The sequence below is a fragment of the Homo sapiens genome, chromosome 8, assembly GCF_000001405.40.
Source record: "Homo sapiens chromosome 8, GRCh38.p14 Primary Assembly".
Taxonomy (NCBI): domain Eukaryota; kingdom Metazoa; phylum Chordata; class Mammalia; order Primates; family Hominidae; genus Homo; species Homo sapiens.
In genome coordinates this window covers 118,843,115-118,862,576 of record NC_000008.11, presented here as the reverse complement: position 1 = coordinate 118,862,576, position 19,462 = coordinate 118,843,115, and the positions used below count along the sequence as shown (strand labels likewise).

Genomic DNA, 19,462 nt, shown 5'->3' with positions numbered 1-19,462 from the left:
GGAGAATCACTTGAACCTGGGAGGCAGAGGTTGCAGTGAACCGAGATCATGCCATTGCATTCCAGTCTGGGAGACAAGAGCAAAACTCCATCTCAAAAAAAAAAAAAAAAAAAAAAAGAATTGGGCAACACTTGTGATATAATAGTTTAGGGTTGGTACATACAGCAAGACAGGTTTTACAGGTAAGTTAAAGAATAAACATTTGCTTGTTAAGCTCAGTTGAATCATCTGTTATCTTGATAAGAGGCTATTTACTCAAATAAGGGTAAGTTAAACAGTATGATTTTGAAATAAATGGACTTGTAGAAATTTTCTAAATTAAGCAATAAAGTTATTTAAAACTTTATCTTCCTAGGAAAGAACTGTATGAAATACCAAAAGTATGTTAATATGGACTGTGTAGGTGGTTTCTGTTCTGTTTCTACTCTTTTAGGCCTAAAAATGGTAATAACTTCCAGCAGTTACTAACCCCAGGGTGCTTCATCGTCTGTGGTTGATTTCCCTTCAACATGCCTACATCCTTGAAGATAACCTTTCTTAATACTTTTTTCAATTACTCTAATTGAATATGCCATCTGTTTCTTAATTGTACCCTAATAAAGATAATTATGAGTTGATAAACATTTGTTCACTTGTACATATTTATAAATTCACCAACTCTCACAGAATCACTTGGTTGCCTGGCATTAATCAATTGCATTGCTATTCCAATTCAATATCACTGCATATGTTGTAGTTACTGTTGGTGCAGCAAAATGCAAACTCAGGAGTAAAAGACTGTGCTTTGTGCCTGGACCTATTTGACTCCACATACAGAAGTAAGTGGTCTGATTCTTAATCTCTTGCATTAGTTCTGACAGAGGACAGGAGAAACTTAAACTACTCCAGCCAAATACTGGGAATTTTGCACCTGCGTGGCTTATTCCTGCACTTTTGTTCTGGTTCTGAAAACTGCACTTATTTTTAACTTTTCTCAGTCTCTGTCTTCATTCTTGCCAGTCCCAGTTGCCAAGAATTGGAGATTTGCAGATAAATCATAGTCGAGTGCAAGGGCAGCTACCTACTGGCTGCTTGACTGTTGCTGCTGGCCTGTCTGGAATCTTAGCACCGCTCTTCAAACCCGTCTTCTCTCTAGCTGTGTAACCAAAACACTGGAGTTATTCAGTGACTTTTCATGTAATGCATTATAAGGGGACAGCTCTCCTGATTAGGAATATGTGTTTAATATTTACTGCCTAAATTATTCCTAGGTTGTGTGGGGGGTGTGTGTGTATTTAGCCTCCAGTGCCACTGCCTATGTACATTAGCTCCTCTACTGCTATACCCTTTAGCATGGTATCTGTCCCTTAAGTATCTAATGGAGAAAACAAATAAGGATTGTCTGCCAGCTCCGCTGTAATACACTCACAAAAGCTTGTGAATCTTTAAAAGAAACAAAGCAAAGAAAATAAATGCATGTCTAAGCACATTTCCTGAATATGTGAAAGTCCTCTGGCCTTTCTCTTCCCTACAAAGATTACCATCATCTTTAACATACATACCTCACAAACATCCGCCAAGTGCTGTATTGAATAATTTAGTATGATTTAGTGTGGCTGCTTGTTCTCTGTTAGACTTGTGTGGAATGAAATAAAAGAAAGGACGTAAGGCAGACACAGAGGAGCACAATTATAGGCAAATCACACTAGGTTTCATTCATCATTCTGTGCTTTCATGCCAGGAACTATTTCAGTTTAGTTATAATATGCACATTACATTTATTTCAATGAGAAACAAATACTCATATAACACATATCCCAATACTTACATAGATAAAACTGAACTCTACTCAAAAGCCCATGTCACACACAATTTCCTTGGCACTTTGAAAAAGAAGGGTAGTGCTTTTGTAAAGAACATACTATGAATAGCCAATGTATAAGCAGAAAATATGAAATCCCCCTTTGGGTTTCATATTGGATGCTACTCTCAGAGAGCTGTGTTACTAAAACACTGGAGTCATTTCCATGACTTGCTGGGCTTCTCATGTAATGTGTTGTAAGGGGACAGCCCTCCTGATTAAGAATATGTGTTTAATTTTTATTGTATAAATTAAACGGTATAAAATCTAATATACTAATTAAAACCTTTGGCTTCCAAATTAGACAAACCTGGGTTTGAATTCCAGCTCCCACTCTTACTAGCTCTGTTGGCTTTTGCAAATTGATTTGTTTCAGCAAACTTTGGTCACCTCAACTGAAAATGGTGATAAAACTAGCTCCTACTCATGAGGGTATTATGAGAATTAAATGAAATAATGCAAGAAAAACACAAAGCATGATGTCTAACATATGCGAAGCACTTCACACACTACCATGTCCATTTGAAGTTGCTGTTTTAATATTGAACTTGCATAGGGGAATAGCCAGTTTTCACATTTAACCCTATTATCTACATTCAGATGAAACCCAAATAAATAATACTTCCTAACTTCTTTCTGCCCACCAGTTGCTAATAATCAACAACCCACTAGGGATTTTCAAGTGGAAGTCCCAACAGCACATCACAGTTTCTGTGTCTGAAGTCAGGTGTATTATTTTCCATCTAACAAGAAAGTTCTTCCTCTTGACTTACTGACTACTGTTAAACTGGGAAAATTCCCTTGTATTCAAAGATAGCTAGAATCGTGAATTTTACTTGATCTTGTTAAAGACTAAGGAAACTGGAAAATAGAACCAATGAACAGGGCATTGTGCTTCTCCAGATCTATCTATCTATCTATCTATCTATCTATCTATCTATCTATCTATCCACCTATATATCTATCTCTCTGTTTATATATATCTATACCTACATAAATGTACCTGATTATTACTATTGATCATCATATATATCATGACTATAATCCCTAAAACAAGACAAAAGTTCCGAAAATGGTTAATACAATTTAGAAAAGAAAAAAGTTAATCAATATCTAAATTTAAAGCTTTTAGTAAATTTCTTGCAGATTACTCAGTTATAAAAAATGCAAATTATTTACATTTGTATAGTATCTTAAAGTTTACCAAGATTTTTTATATATATCAACTCTTCACAAAAAGAAAGTAGGATTATTAATCTTGTTTTTCATATAATAACACAAAAACAAAAAATTTAAGAGACTTCATTTTCTCATTAAATACATTAAATGATTACATACAAGGATACAGATACTGAGGCTACAATTTTGAACAAAGCAGATGGTGTCTCTTTTTCATAGATATGTGCTTTTTCATATATATATAATTTATTTTTATGTGACAAATAATATTTGTGCACATTTAGAATGCTATGTGATTTTTTTTTTTTTTTTTTGAGACAAAGTCTCATTCTCTCACCCAGGCTGAAGTTTAGTGGCAAGATCCCAGCTCATTGTAGCCTAGAAGTCCTAGGCTCAAACAATCCTTCCCTTCAGTCTCCTGTGTAGCTGGGACTACAAGCACGTGCCACCACACCTGCCTATTTTTTTTTTTTTTCTCTAGAGAATAGGTCTCACTATGTTGCCCAGGATGGTCTTGAACTCATGGGCTCAAGCAATTTTCCTATCTTTGCCTCCTAAAGTGCTGGTATTACAGGTGTGAACCACTGTGCCTGGCCTGATGTTTTGATCTATTTATATATTGTAGAAAGGTGCAATTAAGCTAATTAACACATGCATTGCCTTCCCAATCTATCATTTCTTTTTCTGATAAAAACATTAAATACCTGTTCATTGACCTCAGAGATCTTATAGTCCCTGAAGATATTACACTCTGTTATGTTTTATCAGAATCAGAAGCCAGAGTCTAGTAAAGGGCTACTTTAAATTGGGCTATCACGAAAGGCTTCACTGATACTTTGGCATGAGCAGGAACCTATACAAAGTGAGGCATCAGCCATGCAGCTCCGAGGGACAAGCATTCCAGGGAGAGGGAGCAGCAAGTGCAAAGGCCCCCAGGCAGGAGCTTGCTTGGAAAGGTGAGTCCATGGCAAGGTGGCCCATAGGGAGGGGACAGAAGCAGCCAGGAGCCCCATAGTGCAGGGCTTTGTGGGCAATTGGGAAGGCTTTAGAACCTCTACTACATGCTTTGCCAAAAAGTTCTTAGCTAGTAAGTGGCAGACCTAGGGAACAACTTTGAGTATTGAATTTCAAAATCTGAGATGATGGCACATGAAGAGAGCTTCTAAGGGAAGCAGATAAGGCTCTGCATGGCACCTTTAAGCACCACAACAAGGCCTCACCACTTTTTCTCCTTGATGCCACTGGGTGTCGAGAATAACTAGAATCTTTCTGGTTCCAACTTACCTATGAAACCAGCTCATGTTCTCAGTCATTCCTCCTTCTCCTTTTTGCTCAAAACCTCCTAATGGGAGAACAAGGGCTGGCAGAGTGATCACAGAAGAAGTCATATTCCCTGTGCTCTCTGCTTTAGCCACTTGTTAAAATTTAGTTCTAATGAAGCTCTGCCATGCTTTCCAGTGGCGCTGTAAGATGAGTCACTTGGACACTTTTGTTTTTCTTTCTGCAAAAATAAAGATACTGATGCTTTTACTATTTTCAAAGGCTGCTTTCTGCCGGAAACATGAGGTAACAAGTGCATAATTGTTTTGGTCTCTTTTCTAGAAAGATATGTTAACGATATTCATTAAGTAATGTTATGTCCCCAGCCTGTGCTAGGTTAGCATGGAACATGAAAGGAAGTAAAATGCCAAGGTCCTGACCACACAGAACTCAGAATTCTGTTCAGGGACAGAACATGTGTCCATAAGCAACACCAAGGGTTTAAGGTCCTTAACATGAAGAAAAGGGCCACAGTGATGTGGCCAGGTCCTTTAGGCCAAACTCCCTAAAAGGGTCTAGGAATCAGCTGACATCTAGCTAGGATTCAGGCTTCTCTGAATTAATAGGAAACCTTGGTCCCAATTTCTCCCTTCAAGGTGTATAAACTCTCTATATATTTTTAAAAATCACATCAGATTTTAAAAAGTATAAAAAGAATGCTAAGGTCATGCAGTCCCCTCAAGGAAATTAGGAGCACCCCTATCTATATATGTTCCATTCAACAAGGCAGGTCAATGGGCTATTTTCTAGTGATTTTAAAGAGGGCCTTGACCAACCCCCACCCTCAACATTTCCCACTGACCCAACCAAAGTGCTTATAATTTCCACTTTTTGTGTTACTTTTTTAGAATAGATATATTATGTTTATTAAAAGTCTTTGTTAGAATGAAAGCAAGTTACTAAGAAGTAACTCATTAACTGATTAGCATGGATTAATATATCATTTTCAAGGAGGAAGGTCTCAGGAGACTGTAAATATGAAGGGTTTTGGAATAAGATATAATGCATGAGAAAAATGGAACAAAAGAATCCAGAATCAGAGACCCTAAAACATTTACGAGACACAATGAGAACATCTAACTATTGACGAAGTGGAGAAAAGAGAATGCTAAGGGAAGATAAGAGTACATGAGACCTTGTAGTATAGCTTGAAGTCAGGTAGCATGATGCCTCCAGCTTTGTTCTTTTTCCTTAGGATTGTCTTGGCTATACGGGCTGGTTTTTTGTTGTTGTTGTTGTTGTTCCATATAAAATTTAAAGTACTTCTTTCTAATTATGTGAAGAAAGTAAATGGTAGCTTGATGGGGATAGCATTGAATCTAGAAATTACTTTGAGCAGTATGGCCATTTTCACAGTATTGATTCTTCCTATCCACAAGCATGGAATATTTTCCCATTTGTTTGTGTCCTCTCTGATTTCTTTGAGCAGTGGTTTGTATTTGTACTTGAAGAGGTCCTTCACATCCCTTGTAAGTTGTATTCCTAGGTATTGTGTTCTCTTTGTAGCAATTGTGAATGGCAGTTCACTCGTGATTTGGCTCTCTATTATTGGCGTATAGGAATGCTTGTGAATTTTGCACATTGATTTTGTATCCTGAGACTTTGCTGAAGTTGCTTATCAGCTTAAGGAGATTTTGGGCAGAGACCATGGGGTTTTCTAAATACACAATCATGTCATCTGCAAACAGAGACAATTTGACTTCCTCTCTTCCTATTTGAATACCCTTTATTTCTTTCTCTTGCCTGATTGCTCTGGTCACAACTTCCAATACTATGTTGAATAGGAGTGGTGAGAGAGGGCATCCTTGTCTTGTGCCGGTTTTCAAAGGGAATGCTTCCAGCTTTTGCCCATTCAGTATGATATTGGCTGTGGGTTTGTCATAAATAGTTCTTATATTTTGAGATATGTTCCATCAATACCTAGTTTATTGAGAGTTTTTAGTATGAAAGGGTGCTGAATTTTATCAAAGGCCTTTTCTGCATCTATTGAGATAATCACCTGGTTTTTGTCATTGGTTCTGTTTATGTGATGGATTACATTTATTGATTTGTGTATGTTGAACCAGGCTTGCATCCCAGGGATGAAGCCCATTTGATCGTGTTGGATAAGCTTTTTGATGTGCTGCTGGATTTGGTTTGCCAGTATTTTATTGAGGATTTTCACATTGATGTTCATCAGGGATATTGGCCTGAAATTTTGTGTTTTTTTGTTGTGTCTCTGCCAAGTTTTGGTATCAGGATGATGCTGGCCTCACAAAATGAGTTAGGGAGGAGTCTCTCTTTTTCTATTGTTTGGAATAGTTTCAGAAGGAATGATACCAGCTCCTCTTTGTACCTCTGGTAGAATTCAGCTGTGAATCTGTCTGGTCCTGGGCTTTTTTTGGTCGGTAGGCTATTAATTACTGCCTCAATTTCAGAACTTGTAATTGGTCAATTGAGGGATTTGACTTCTTCCTGGTTTAGTCTTGGGAGGGTGTATGTGTTCAGGAATGTATCCACTTCTTCTAGATTTTCTAGTTTATTTGCATAGAGGTGTTTATAGTATTGTCTGATGGTAGTTGTATGTCTGTGGGATCAGTGATGAGATCTCTTTATTATTTTTTATTGTGTCTATTTGATTCTTCTCTCTTTTCTTCTTTATTAGTCTGCCTAGTAGTCTATTTTGTTAATCTTCGAACTATGATACAAGGCTACAGTAGCCAAAACAGCATGGTACTGGTACCAAAACAGATATATAGACCAATGGAACAGAACAGAGGCCTCAGAAATAATGCCACACATCTACAACCATCTGATCTTTGACAAACCTGACAAAAACAAGCAATGGGGAAAGGATTCCCTATTTAATAAATGGTATTGGGAAAACTGGCTGACCATATGCAGAAAACTGAAACTGGACCCCTTCCTTATACTTTATACAAAAATTAACTCAAGATGGATTAACTACTTAAATGTAAGACCTAAAACCATAAAAACTCTAGAAGAAAACCTAGGCAATACCATTCAGGACATAGGCTTGGGCAAAGACTTCATGACTAAAACACCGAAAGCAATGACAACAAAAGCCAAAATTGACAAATGGGATCTAATTGAACTAAAGAGCTTCTGCACAGCAAAAGAAACTATCATCAGAGTGAAGAGGCAACCTACAAAATGGGAGAACATTTTTGCAATCTATCCATCTGACAAAGGGCTAATATGCAGAATCTACATAGAACTTAAATTTACAAGAAAAAAACAAACAACTACACCAAAAAGTGGGTGAAGGATGTGAACAGACACTTCTCAAAAGAAGACATTATGTGGCCAAAAAACACATGAAAAAAAGCTCATCATCACTGGTCACTAGATAAACGCAAATCAAAACCACAATGAGATACCATCTCATGCTCGTTAGAATGGCGATCATTAAAAAGTCAGGAAACAGATGCTGGAGAAGATGTGGAGAAATAGGTACACTTTTACACTGTTGTTGAGAGTGTAAATTAGTTCAACCATTGTGGAAGACAGTGTGGCAATTCCTCAAGGATCTAGAACCAGAAATACCATTTGACCCAGCTATCCCATTACTGGATATATACCCAAAGGATTATAAATCATTCTATTATAAAGACACATGCACATGTATGTTTATTGCAGCACTGTTCACAATAGCAAAGACTTGGAACCAACCCAAATGCCCATCAATGATAGAATGGATAAAGAAAATGTGACACATATACACCACGGAACACTATGCAGCCATAAAAAATGATGAGTTCATGTCCTTTGCAGAGACATGAAGGAAGCTGGAAACCATCATTCTCAGCAAACTAGCACATGAACAGAAAACCAAACACCACATGTTCTCACTCATAAGTGGGAGCTGAACAGTGAGAACACATGGACACAGGGAGGGGAACATCACATACCAGGGCCTGTTGGGAAGCTGGGGGCTAGGGGAGGGATAGCAGTAGGAGAAATACCTAATGTAGATGACGGGTTGATGGGTGCAGCAAACCACCATGGCACATATATATCTATGTAACAAACGTGCACGTTCTGCACATGTATCCCATAAGTTAAGGTATAATAATAATTATGACAAAGACTACATGAGACCAACTCTAGCAACTTTCCAATTTTGTCTAGGGTTGCTCTGGTTAATTCCTCTGCTTTATATATAGAGAACCCATTGTCCAGGGCATTTAATTCACTTGCCCAAGTGTAGTCAGTGACTAAGTGGAAGAATAAAGATTAGAAATCTAGATTCCCAACTCCACACCTGCTTTGCTAAATTAGAAAAACAACAACAACAACAACAAAAACGCAGCGGCTCTGAAGATTCTTTGATTAGGGTTTTTCCAGATCCTATTTTCAAGGCTTTTTAGTCTTCAAATGAAAGGTGTTTTTTTGTTTGTTTGTTTGTTTTTTGGCTATTATGAATGTTTACTTAAGAAAAGGATATTAGACAGGGCTCAAATTGGGATTAGAATGAAAAGAAACTTAAACCTCTGGTGAACTACATCTTAAAATTCAGAAGTAGAAAAGTACTCATGGATCAGAGGTTGGTGCAATATGCAGACACATTTCCTCTTTTCTTCCCACACTCATCTTAAAAATAATACCAGACAGTACTAGACATCAAAGCCAGCCAGCCGAGACAGGAGGAAGTGACTATTCAAACAGGGAGGAATTCAACAAGGTAAGTCCCTAACAAATAAGTCCTGGTGATAAATGGAACAAAGCCATCACTGAATTGATCAATGTCTCAAAAAACATATGGACCTAACCCACAAACATTATGAAAAGTTTTCCTGATAATGCTGGTGGTTGAGTCAGTTTTGTAGAAGAAAATTATGTGATAAAAACACCTGAAGACATTTTTTCGAGTCCTACATTTTTTTAAGCTCAAGAGAAGACATCATAGTACAATGGGGGAAAAATAGTGCTTGACTTATATAGATCTGTTTTTCCAATTGCTGGCTTCAGTATAAATAGTATCAAAAAGAAATGTGAAAGCACAAAACATAAATTTTATGTTTTACCTATTTACCCAAGAATTTAAATACTTAGACTCTGTGACCCAGAAATACAATTACAAAAAAAAATTATGGACATAACAAAAAATGTACAATGATGTTTGCTGCAATATTATTTGAAATATTACAATTATTGGGAACAATTTAAATATCAATATTTCTTAAGATGCTTTGGGCTGCAAGTAACAGGAAAAAATTTACAATGGGTGAAAAACAAGAACATTTTATTATTGCATCTGTCAAAAACGTCATAGGCAAAATATATTTCAAGAGTTGATTAATGTATTAATTCAATGATTCTTGAAGAATAATGGTTACTTCCATCAGTTTCCTCTACTTGGCATATAAACTGTTCTCACAATAACTCCACTCATCAGTATATGGTTCCACAAATACAGGCTTCATAACAATATTGAGCAACAGAAGAAAAACATTTTTTTAACCTATGGAAACACCTTTCCAGGAAACCTCTGTTAGACTTCTTCTCATTTCCCTTTGGCCAGAATCACATCACATACATATTCCTAAGCAAATATCAAGCTAGGGGTATGGGATTCCCTTATCTGATCTAGGAAAGCACATAGGCTATTAGTGTAACTGGGTCACTCAAACTAGATCTGAGATCTGAAAGGAATAGGAATAGACATGGCATGGAAAATTTCTATACTTTGATTGAAAAAAAAAACATTGATATACAGTAGTTACCTCCAATGAATAAGATTGAGAGATAAATGAATCAAAATATGAGAGGTTATGCTGTGATAACAAATAGGTCCTGAATTTCAGAAGCTTAATGATATAACAATATAAGTTTTCTTTCATGCATATCAACAGTCTTATGCAAGTTCCCCGGCTCTCCTTAGCAGCTCACTTCCAAGCAGTGACGTTAGATTCAGGTTCCTTCTAACCCTACTATTTAAAGCATATTGCCTTCAAAATTATTGCAGAAGGCAAAGAGAACATGCTGACTGTGCAGGCATTTTAATGGCAGCCTTAGAATTGGGTTGCATTACTTTCACTAACACCCCTTTGGCCACAATGCAATTACACATTACCTCCCCTAACTGCAAGAGAAGCAAGGGAATGCAGTTTGTATGCACAGAAAATGAATAATAAAACTCCAATTTGGTTATATATAGTTTTGTCTTAGTCATGAGAGATTCTTAACATGACTTTTATTTTACTTCATGCACTTGTCCCTTTTTGTTTGAAAACAGCTGTTATTTTGTAAATTAAAATAGTTGTAAATAGAAAGAAAATAAAACCATCTCTAGTTGTGTTTAATAAGTTACCTGGTTATGGTAGTATTTAACCGCATTTTCCTTGTACAGAAATCCTCTCTGCCTTTTTATTCCATATGGGGACTTAGATAGAGAAGAAAATCATTATGGAGAGTCTGCAGGTTATGGACCCACCATAGAAGGCCAAAGATTTGGAACCCAGAGAAGCAAAAGAAGTCAGAACATTCTAACCAGACTTTACTGTTGTTTGTATTTTCACTTACTTCTTTTTAGGTTTATTTTTACTGTGGCAAAATACACATAAAATAAAATTTACCATGTAACCATTTTCAAGTGTACACTTTGGTGTCATTAAGCTCATTTACAATGTTGTGTAGCCATCACCACTACCTAGTTCTAGAATTTTTCATCACCCCAAATGGAAACTCCATACTCATTAAGCAATCACTCCCCATTTCCCTCTTCCTCAAGCCTTTGGCAACCAATAATTTGGTTTTTGTTTATATGGATTTTCCAATTCTGGATATTTCATATCAATGCAGTCTTACAACAAATGGCCTTTTGTGTCTGGTTTCTTAGACGATGTAACATGAGTCAGTTATGTGATCATGTGCTAGTTTATCTTAAACTGGTCTTGGCCAGGTGCAATGGCTCATGCTTGAATTCCTAACAGTTTGGGAGGCCGAGATGGGCAGATCACTTGAGCTCAGGAGTTGGAGACCAGCCTAGGCAACATGGTGAAACTCTGTCTCTACAAAAAATACAAAAAATTAGCATGGTGGCACACGCCTGTAGTCCCAGCTACTTCGCAGGCTGAGGCAGGAAGATCCCTTGAGCCCATGAGGTCGAGGGTTCAGTGAGCTGGGATCGCGCCACTGCACTCCAGCTTGGGTGACAAAGTGAGACCCTGTTTCTAAAAAAAAGGAAGAAAGAAAGAAAGAAAAGAAACTAATGCTATTCAGAAAAATGACTTACTTCAGTCTGAGGCCTTTAAAAACATTCTATTTTTATCTGTAAAAAGAAGAATGAGCCACAGAATAATTGGAAGAAGTAAATATATAAACAGGAAATTATAAAAATGCATAATAAATGCAGTAGTAGATATTTGCATGGAGCATTTGAGGATTATGAAGGAACACGATTATCCCAAAATGATTGGCCTGAAAGAAATTCAGTAGAAGTAATCCCAGACTTTTGTATTAATGGATTAAGGAATGTTAATAAAGCAAAGTGGTCCTGGGGAAGAAAAATGAAGGCCATGTGAGATAGAGAAAGTACATATGTTGAAAAAGACACCTTGAGACGCCTTAAGCAAATTGGCAACTCAATAGGCTGCTAAATGAATTTTAACTCAGACAAAATCATAGAACACACAGGATTCAGAATAAGAATGGCAAAATTGAAAGAATTTGCTGTAGCAAACCTCCATCTCATTCCCATGAAGCCAGGACTCATCTTTCACTTACATCAGATATCACCTCTCTCAAATCTTCAGCCCCAATGAATTCACACACATTTTAATACTTGAGGATCTACTGGCTTGTAATCATCCTTATTCATATTTTATTTCTCGTTGCTATAAGCAGATATTATCTCCTTCAAAACATAGACATGTAGAAGACATTGCATTGACTCATAAGGGAGTGTCACCACCCATTCCAGGGAAGGTAAACACAAGCACATCAGGAAGATGGTGAGGTAGAAATCTGTGATTTAATATAAATAAGTAATAAGATATGTCCCAGCCTAGGTTAGGATGAGGATTAGTAACACCACTAAGCAACTGTGCTTGCTTCAGGGCGTGTGTGGTTTCTTGCCTGGGCAGCATACCCTCTTCTTCTGGTAGCTTCAACCTGCCTCTAATTTCTTCATGTTCTAAGGTCTTGTTTGCTCTATCGATCAAGGCCTTCCCTATCCTCAAGCCAAGGCAAGTGCACATAAGTCCATTTGGCTTTGCCACCCAGAAGTAAACCTGGAACTAACGGACAGCTTCTTCTTCAGGCCACCTTGGGAATGGCTCAGTATCTTTGTGGTCTCTTAAAGATTCAAGCTTCTGGGACAGTGAGTTTAAATAGCTGATTTGGAATGACATGAAACCCACCTTGACTGCTCAGACCCAGTTTATTCCAAACCCATGGAGAATACCTAGGGTTGGTACCAGAGAAACACTCCTTCTGGGGCATCAGCCTCCTATGCCTGACCTCCATCAACAACACTTGAAAAAAAAAAATCTCCTTCATCTCAATCTTACTCCATGACCTCAATGCCTAGTCAAGAATTTTTCCATTCTTTAGCTAAATTCATATCTCCAGGTTATAGAACATTAAAAAGGAAACATTATTGTTGTATGCCCACCTTTTTTTTGGAGGGGGGGTGTCATTTTCACTGTTGTGCTAATAATGATCCTGGAAAAGCCATCTTTTAAAAAAAATTAATAAATGTCCCCAATGCATATGATGACTTTTAAGATGAGGTAAATAACAACAAAAAGACACAGACTTTCTTCTGAGTAGCAAAGAAATGCAGAAGAGTCAAATTTCAGAGAAGCAGAAACACAGACGGGAGGGAATATGGAATGCTACCACACATAATAGATTCAGGTAGCTTCAGGATAATATTTTCGTTAAAAAATATTCATTACACATGCCGGGAGACCTAAAAACCATTGCTCTTTGGCCAAAGACAGCACAGGAAGAAGGTTGGGTTTCATACCAATCCATTTCCCTATGAACATAGAGATAGATAATAAAAATAAACAGTAAAAAAATACCCATCATGTTTTAGGCACTCAGAAAAAAACAGTGTGTGAGGGGCCCTACTCCTTCTAATAGCTTAGAGGGGGAAAATATGTAAAATGAGACAACTGGATTTTATATTACCAGTAAAGGGAGGGAAGAGGTTTTGGAGCAGCAGTGTTCACCTTACTCATAATTGCCACAAATAGAAAGTCCATGTGTTGAACATCGTGGTGGGTAGGAGAATGGGCTTTGGGGTATGCAGGCCAAGGCTTCACTTCAGAGCCTGCTGCTCACTTACTTAAGACAAGTTTATTAATGCTTCTAAACCTCATCTTTTGACTTGTAAAATGGAGATAATAATAGTACCTATCTCATCAGATGTAGGTTTTTCTGTTATTATGTTCAATTACTGTTGTGATAAAATCATTGGTACCTCATAGTGCTTTTGTAAGGATTGAATTAAATAATATATATGCAGTGTCTTGTACATAGATGCTCAGTAAATTTTTGTTGTTATGGCTATAATGTCTTAGTGCCATGTATCAGGATTAAAAGCTAAACAAGTTCAGGACACTATTTCTTATTTTTATTTTTATTAACAGGAAGAGAGTCCTCTTATTTGCCTCTGTCCCTTCACCACTGTCAACACTATGCCTGTTTAACATTTTGTCATAAAATATGGACTAATCTGGTTTCAAGACAGCAAAGATGACCTAAGCCTCATTTTCTCCAAACACTTTTCTGACAGCAGCTTCCAAGAGACAACAAAGAACAAAGGTAGCAAAGAAAACAGGCATGAATAGAATTTACAAAGAAAGAGTTTGCTCAATATAAGGAAGATCTCTCTAATAACCAGAGCTTTCAAAATACAGAATGGGCAGCCACAAACTGGTAGAATCTTATGGTTGAGAAGGACTTCAGAAGATATTTCTTCAGTTGTCCTCTAGGGTTTGAATTCTTTTTACACAACTTCATTTCTTCCTACATCATCCTCATTCTACTGCCTTCTCAATTGATAGAAAACCCACTCACTCCCCAAGGATGCCGTCTCATTTTGAGAAAGATTTTCAGGTTTGGCAAACATTTTTCGTAAAGGGTCAGATAGCAAATAGTTTTGACTTTGTGGGCCATGGACAGTCTCCACTGCAACTTCTATTGCTGCTACTTCATCAAAAACACTTTAAAAGTATAAAAACCATGCCTCACTAACAGTCCATACAACAACAGGCCGTGGGCAAAATCCCACCTGACAGAGTTTGCTAACTTCTACTCCAAACTGTGATAATTCTTCCCAATATTAAGTGAAAAGCTAACCACTATTGGCTTAATACTTAATGCCTCTTAATTTTAAGGCAAAACGTAACCCCTCTAAATGTTTCCAACTCTTAGTCCTCATTAAGTATAAGCAAATATAGTATAATGTATCCTTAAACTTCTACTACAAGTTTATTATTGTAACAACTCTTTGAGATATATGCAGTGATTTTCACAATTTCCAGACAGGAAAATGGAAACCTAAAGATGTTAGGTAAGTTACTCAAAGCTACATAATTAGTTGGCTGGGGTGGGGTGGGATAGGATGCAGGATACACAACCTAGATCTTCAAGAAGCTCTTTCTACTCTGAGGTTCCATGTCCACCGCCAGGGAAACACGAAGACATCACAGCCCTCTTATGATGGCAAATCCCAAAACAGCTGCCAAAACTCACAAAATATTCTCTTCTCCATGTTAAATATCATCTGTTTCCTGTTGCTCAAATAACCACCATAGTGTTCCTTCTCCTTTAAGTAGGGGTTTTCAAGTGTGTTCCCTCCTTAGTAGCTGCAGCCAGTATTGATCTTTCTTCTTCTTAATGATAAATATATTTTTGCTCCATACCTAGGATATAGGATATGGATTTACGGAGACAGTCATTTGGGTATAGGTTTATAATAATTATTCAATTCTATCTGACTGCCTTTTTAATGTGCAAGGCACATATATTCAAAGCTTATTGTGTTGAGTCTTTTTTTTTTTTTTTTTTTTTTTTTTTGAGACGGAGTCTCGCTCTGTCGCCCAGGCTGGAGTGCAGTGGCACGACGTCTGCTAACTGCAAGCTCCGCCTCCCGGGTTCACGCCATTTTACTGCCTCAGCCTCCCGAATAGCTGGGACTACAGGCGCCTGCCACCGCGCCCGGCTAATTTTTTTGTATTTTTAGTAGAGACAGGGTTTCACTGTGTTAGCCAGGATGGTCTCGATATCCTGACCTCGTGATCCGCCTGCCTCGGCCTCCCAAAGTGCTGGGATTTCAGGCGTGAGCCACCGCGCCCGGCCTGTGTTCAGTCTTAATTGTTGTGTTTTGCCTGTGTAAATTTTTTATCCCCTAAATTAATGTAAATTCTTTTAGAGGTACAATGGGAAAAAACAAAACCACCTTCTAATTATGAACAATTACTCAAAAGATGGATAATAGATCCTTAAATTTCCACCATTTCCAAACCAAAAAAATCTGGAGAATGCCATGCATGGTAGGCAGCCTCTGAGATACCCCCTAGGGATCCCCAATTCTCAGCACATTGCTGACTCATGCCGTTGTGTAATCCTCTCTCTTTTAGTATGGGCTGGACCTTAGTGATGGCTTTTCACAAATAAAATAGGGACAACATGACGTGATGTCACTTCCAAGACTGGTTACAAAAAGACTTGCTGGCTGTCTTGTCTCTGTCTCTGTCTTTCTCTCTTCTATTTTTTCCTCACTTGTTCTGACGGAGCCAACTGTCCTGATGTGAGCTTCCCTGTGGAAAGGTCCACAGCATGAAATTGAGGCCGGCATCTGGCCAAAACCTAGCAAGGAACAGAGGCCGCTAGTCCAACAGCCTGCAAGAAAATGAATCCTGCCAACACCCACATGAGCGAGCTTAGAAAGGGACTCCTTCTAAGTCAAGCTTTGACACAACAGCAGCTCCTGACACCTTGAGCAGAGCCTTGTGCAAAATGCTAAGTTGAAGTCTAGGCCATGTCTTGATTGTTGACTCTCAAAAACTGTAAGACTAAGAAATGATTGTTGGTTGAAGTCGCTATGTTTCAGCCATTTGTTACACAGCAATAGGTAGCTAATATGATAAGTATTTTGTCTTACCAAAAGGTAATGAGACTGCTTGGTGGGCAACAAGATTCCTTTTGGGGAGAAGATGTGGTAGAACAAGATAAAGATATGGTTCCACAATCTTGTGAATGTACTACATAACATTGAACTGTAAATTTTAAAGTGATTAATTTTATGTTCTATGAATTTCACCTCAATAATTTTTTAAAGGAAGCAGCACAAGACATAAACAAAGAAGGAAGGAAAAAAATAAGAAGATAAAGGAAAAAACAAAAGTTTACTTAAGAACGCCTTCAAGAAAACAATCCATCACAATAAATGAAAACTATGATCAAAATTCAGCACCAAGTTACTTAACCTAATGAATCTATCAACTTACAAATGTGAGCAAATGTAGAGAGCCCAGGGCTCAGTAAGGAGAGAACAAGATGACAAAAGGAGCTGAAATGTGTGTCACAGCACTCAGTAAATGAAGCAGAAACTATAAAAATGTTTTACTGTGAGAAAAGAAAATAAGACAAGGGACATAAAGTAGCTGTTTCTCAATAAATAATTCTAAAACAATTTAACCCTTTAAATTATGTGAGTATATAATTTGATTCAAAAGTAAAACATTAAATAGCAAAAATAAGATAATGAAGGTATTTTGATTTTAAAATCTCAATAAACTGCAGGTAGATTCTGAACTTGTTTTTTTGTTGTTCTTTAATGTACCAAAGGCCACTAAGGTACAATCTGAAATCAATAATTCAATTAACAAACAGAAACCAGAACTTCTGCTTGTAATAAGGTAAGGTGTTATATTTAGTATGGGAAGAGACAATTGTTTAAATTATTTTACAATTAGGAAATTATGTATTTGTCATGCAACATATTTAGACTATACTGTGTCTGAGACTTCATGTTTGCTTCTAGGAAATGTATATGGTCTTGTACTTAATGTCAAAGCCAGCCACCCTCTCGCCGTCCCTCTTGTTGTTCTTTTAGATCAGTGGTTCTTTTTTTTTTTTTTGAGACGGAGTCTTGCTCTGTCCCCCAGACTGGAGTGCAGTGGCGTGATCTTAGCTCACTGCAAGCTCCGCCTCCCGGGTTCACGCTATTCTCCTGCCTCAGCCTCCTGAGTAGCTGGGACTACAGGTGCCCGCCACCAGCTAATTTTTTGTATTTTTAGTAGAGATGGGGTTTCACCGTGTTAGCCAGGATGGTCTCGATCTCCTGACCTCGTGATCTGCCCGCCTCGGCCTCCCAAAGTACTGGGATTACAGGCGTGAGCCAGCGCACCCGGCCAGAACAGTGGTTCTTAACTGTGGCCTGGGGGGCTTAAAAAATTCATGGTTCTACCCTCAGAAATTCTGATTTGGTTGGCTTGAAATGTGGCCTGGGCATTGGATAGGAATTGACCTTTGTTCTAAACAGAATGGAGAAATAGAACAAGCCTGTGTTTCAGATTAGAAAATGCCAGAATTTAGGAAATGCATTGCTGAGGATTACTCTGTTTCAATATATCCTGCAAATGTGACAATAAACACTACGGCCAAAAAGATGTGTGTAAATAATGGGTGGTGGAAGGTGGAGGGTAAAGACTCAGAGTGGACAGGTTGAATGACAGGGACATACAGTAGGATAATAAGGCAAGTTGGTGTGTCCATGTAGAACCTTACCAGTGAAAGAGATATTTTATGGAGCATTATTTTTAAAGTGTCCACAACCTATGTGCGCAGCCATGTCAGGTCACTTACTATTTTTTCCTGTTTAACATTGTCACTGTGTTTAGTTAACCCCAACTCATCAATATGGTCTGATATACCCATGAAACCTTAGATGCGGCTGCTGCAGGGGAATATGGAGCAATGGAGAGCAATGTGGCTGGCTCACCTTGACTTCCTTATTAACAGCCACTTGGAGGGGCTGCCTCCTAACAAAACAGACATGGTTAGGAGTTCCAGGGGCTGACCACTGGTGAAGTGACCCCTGGCCCAAAATTGAATTAAAGGAAGATGGAATTGAAGGCCATAATACAAACTCTATTGTTAACTGAGATAAATTTGATCATGCAAACTCTTAACCTTGGTTGGAGATTAGACAATCCACCACAATTTTGCCATCCAGTTGTGATCAAATTTTGCAACACAGACATATTTATTAAAGTTTTATTTTATGCAAGCACAAAAAGGTTTTACACAACTGGTTCTGTAAGCACAAAGAAGTCTCAGCTCTCTGTCTTTTTTTAAGTGTTGCAACCATACATTGTATAAAAGGTCACTTGGGGAAACCACAACATTTTTCTGGAAGGAGTATTCTGTCATCCTACAGTGACTAAACCCAAGACAATTTAGAAATCAAGGTGTAAACATCCAACCTAGGCTCCAAGTCTCAGTTATTATGCCGATTTCACACAAAAGTAGGGTGTATCTTTCAAATATTTTAGCCAATCCACTCATATTGAATGGAAATTTAATCAATTTATTTCAACAAGAGAGTATATTTCTATCATCAATTTATGTTAATTAGCAAAGATTCTGAATAACAGAAGCACTTATACTAGATGCCTCTGAAATATAGGCTTCCCCAAAATAATGTCAGATTTGTATTTAACTGTAATTCCTGATTGGATAGTTATCTATACCTGGGTAAAATTTTATACAATACACACATAATGTTTTACATAACAAGTCATCAAACCTACTCTCTTTCCCTTGATACATTAAAGCTGAATGCATCCTGAAAGAAATAGTTCTGACAGGACCTTAAAATGTAAATAAATGTATATATCTTTTTCTCCCCCATCCCAGATACTCGCAGACAGAAACTTGTACTATAGTGTAAGGTACACACTATGTGCTATTCTTAGCCTATTTTGCATTGTTTTAAAGAAATACCTGGCCAGGCATGGTGGCTCACACTTGTAATCCCAGCAGTTTGAGAGGCCAATGTGGGAGGATAACTTGAGCCCAGGAGTTTGAGACCAGCCTGGGCGCTATGGTAAAATTCCATCTCTACAACAAATACAAAAAATTAGCCAGGCCTAGTGGCGT

At 37.8% G+C, this 19,462-nt stretch overlaps 1 long non-coding RNA gene across 1 annotated transcript in view; it reads left to right on the top strand.

The window, feature by feature from the left end:
• Window positions 1-670: 670 nt before the first annotated feature.
• LOC105375723 (uncharacterized) overlaps window positions 671-19,462 on the top strand; it is a 28,587-nt gene continuing 9,795 nt past the window's right edge. The window contains exon 1 of the long non-coding RNA XR_928581.3: window positions 671-818. This is a non-coding gene — a long non-coding RNA (uncharacterized LOC105375723). The remainder of the gene's footprint in view (window positions 819-19,462) is intronic.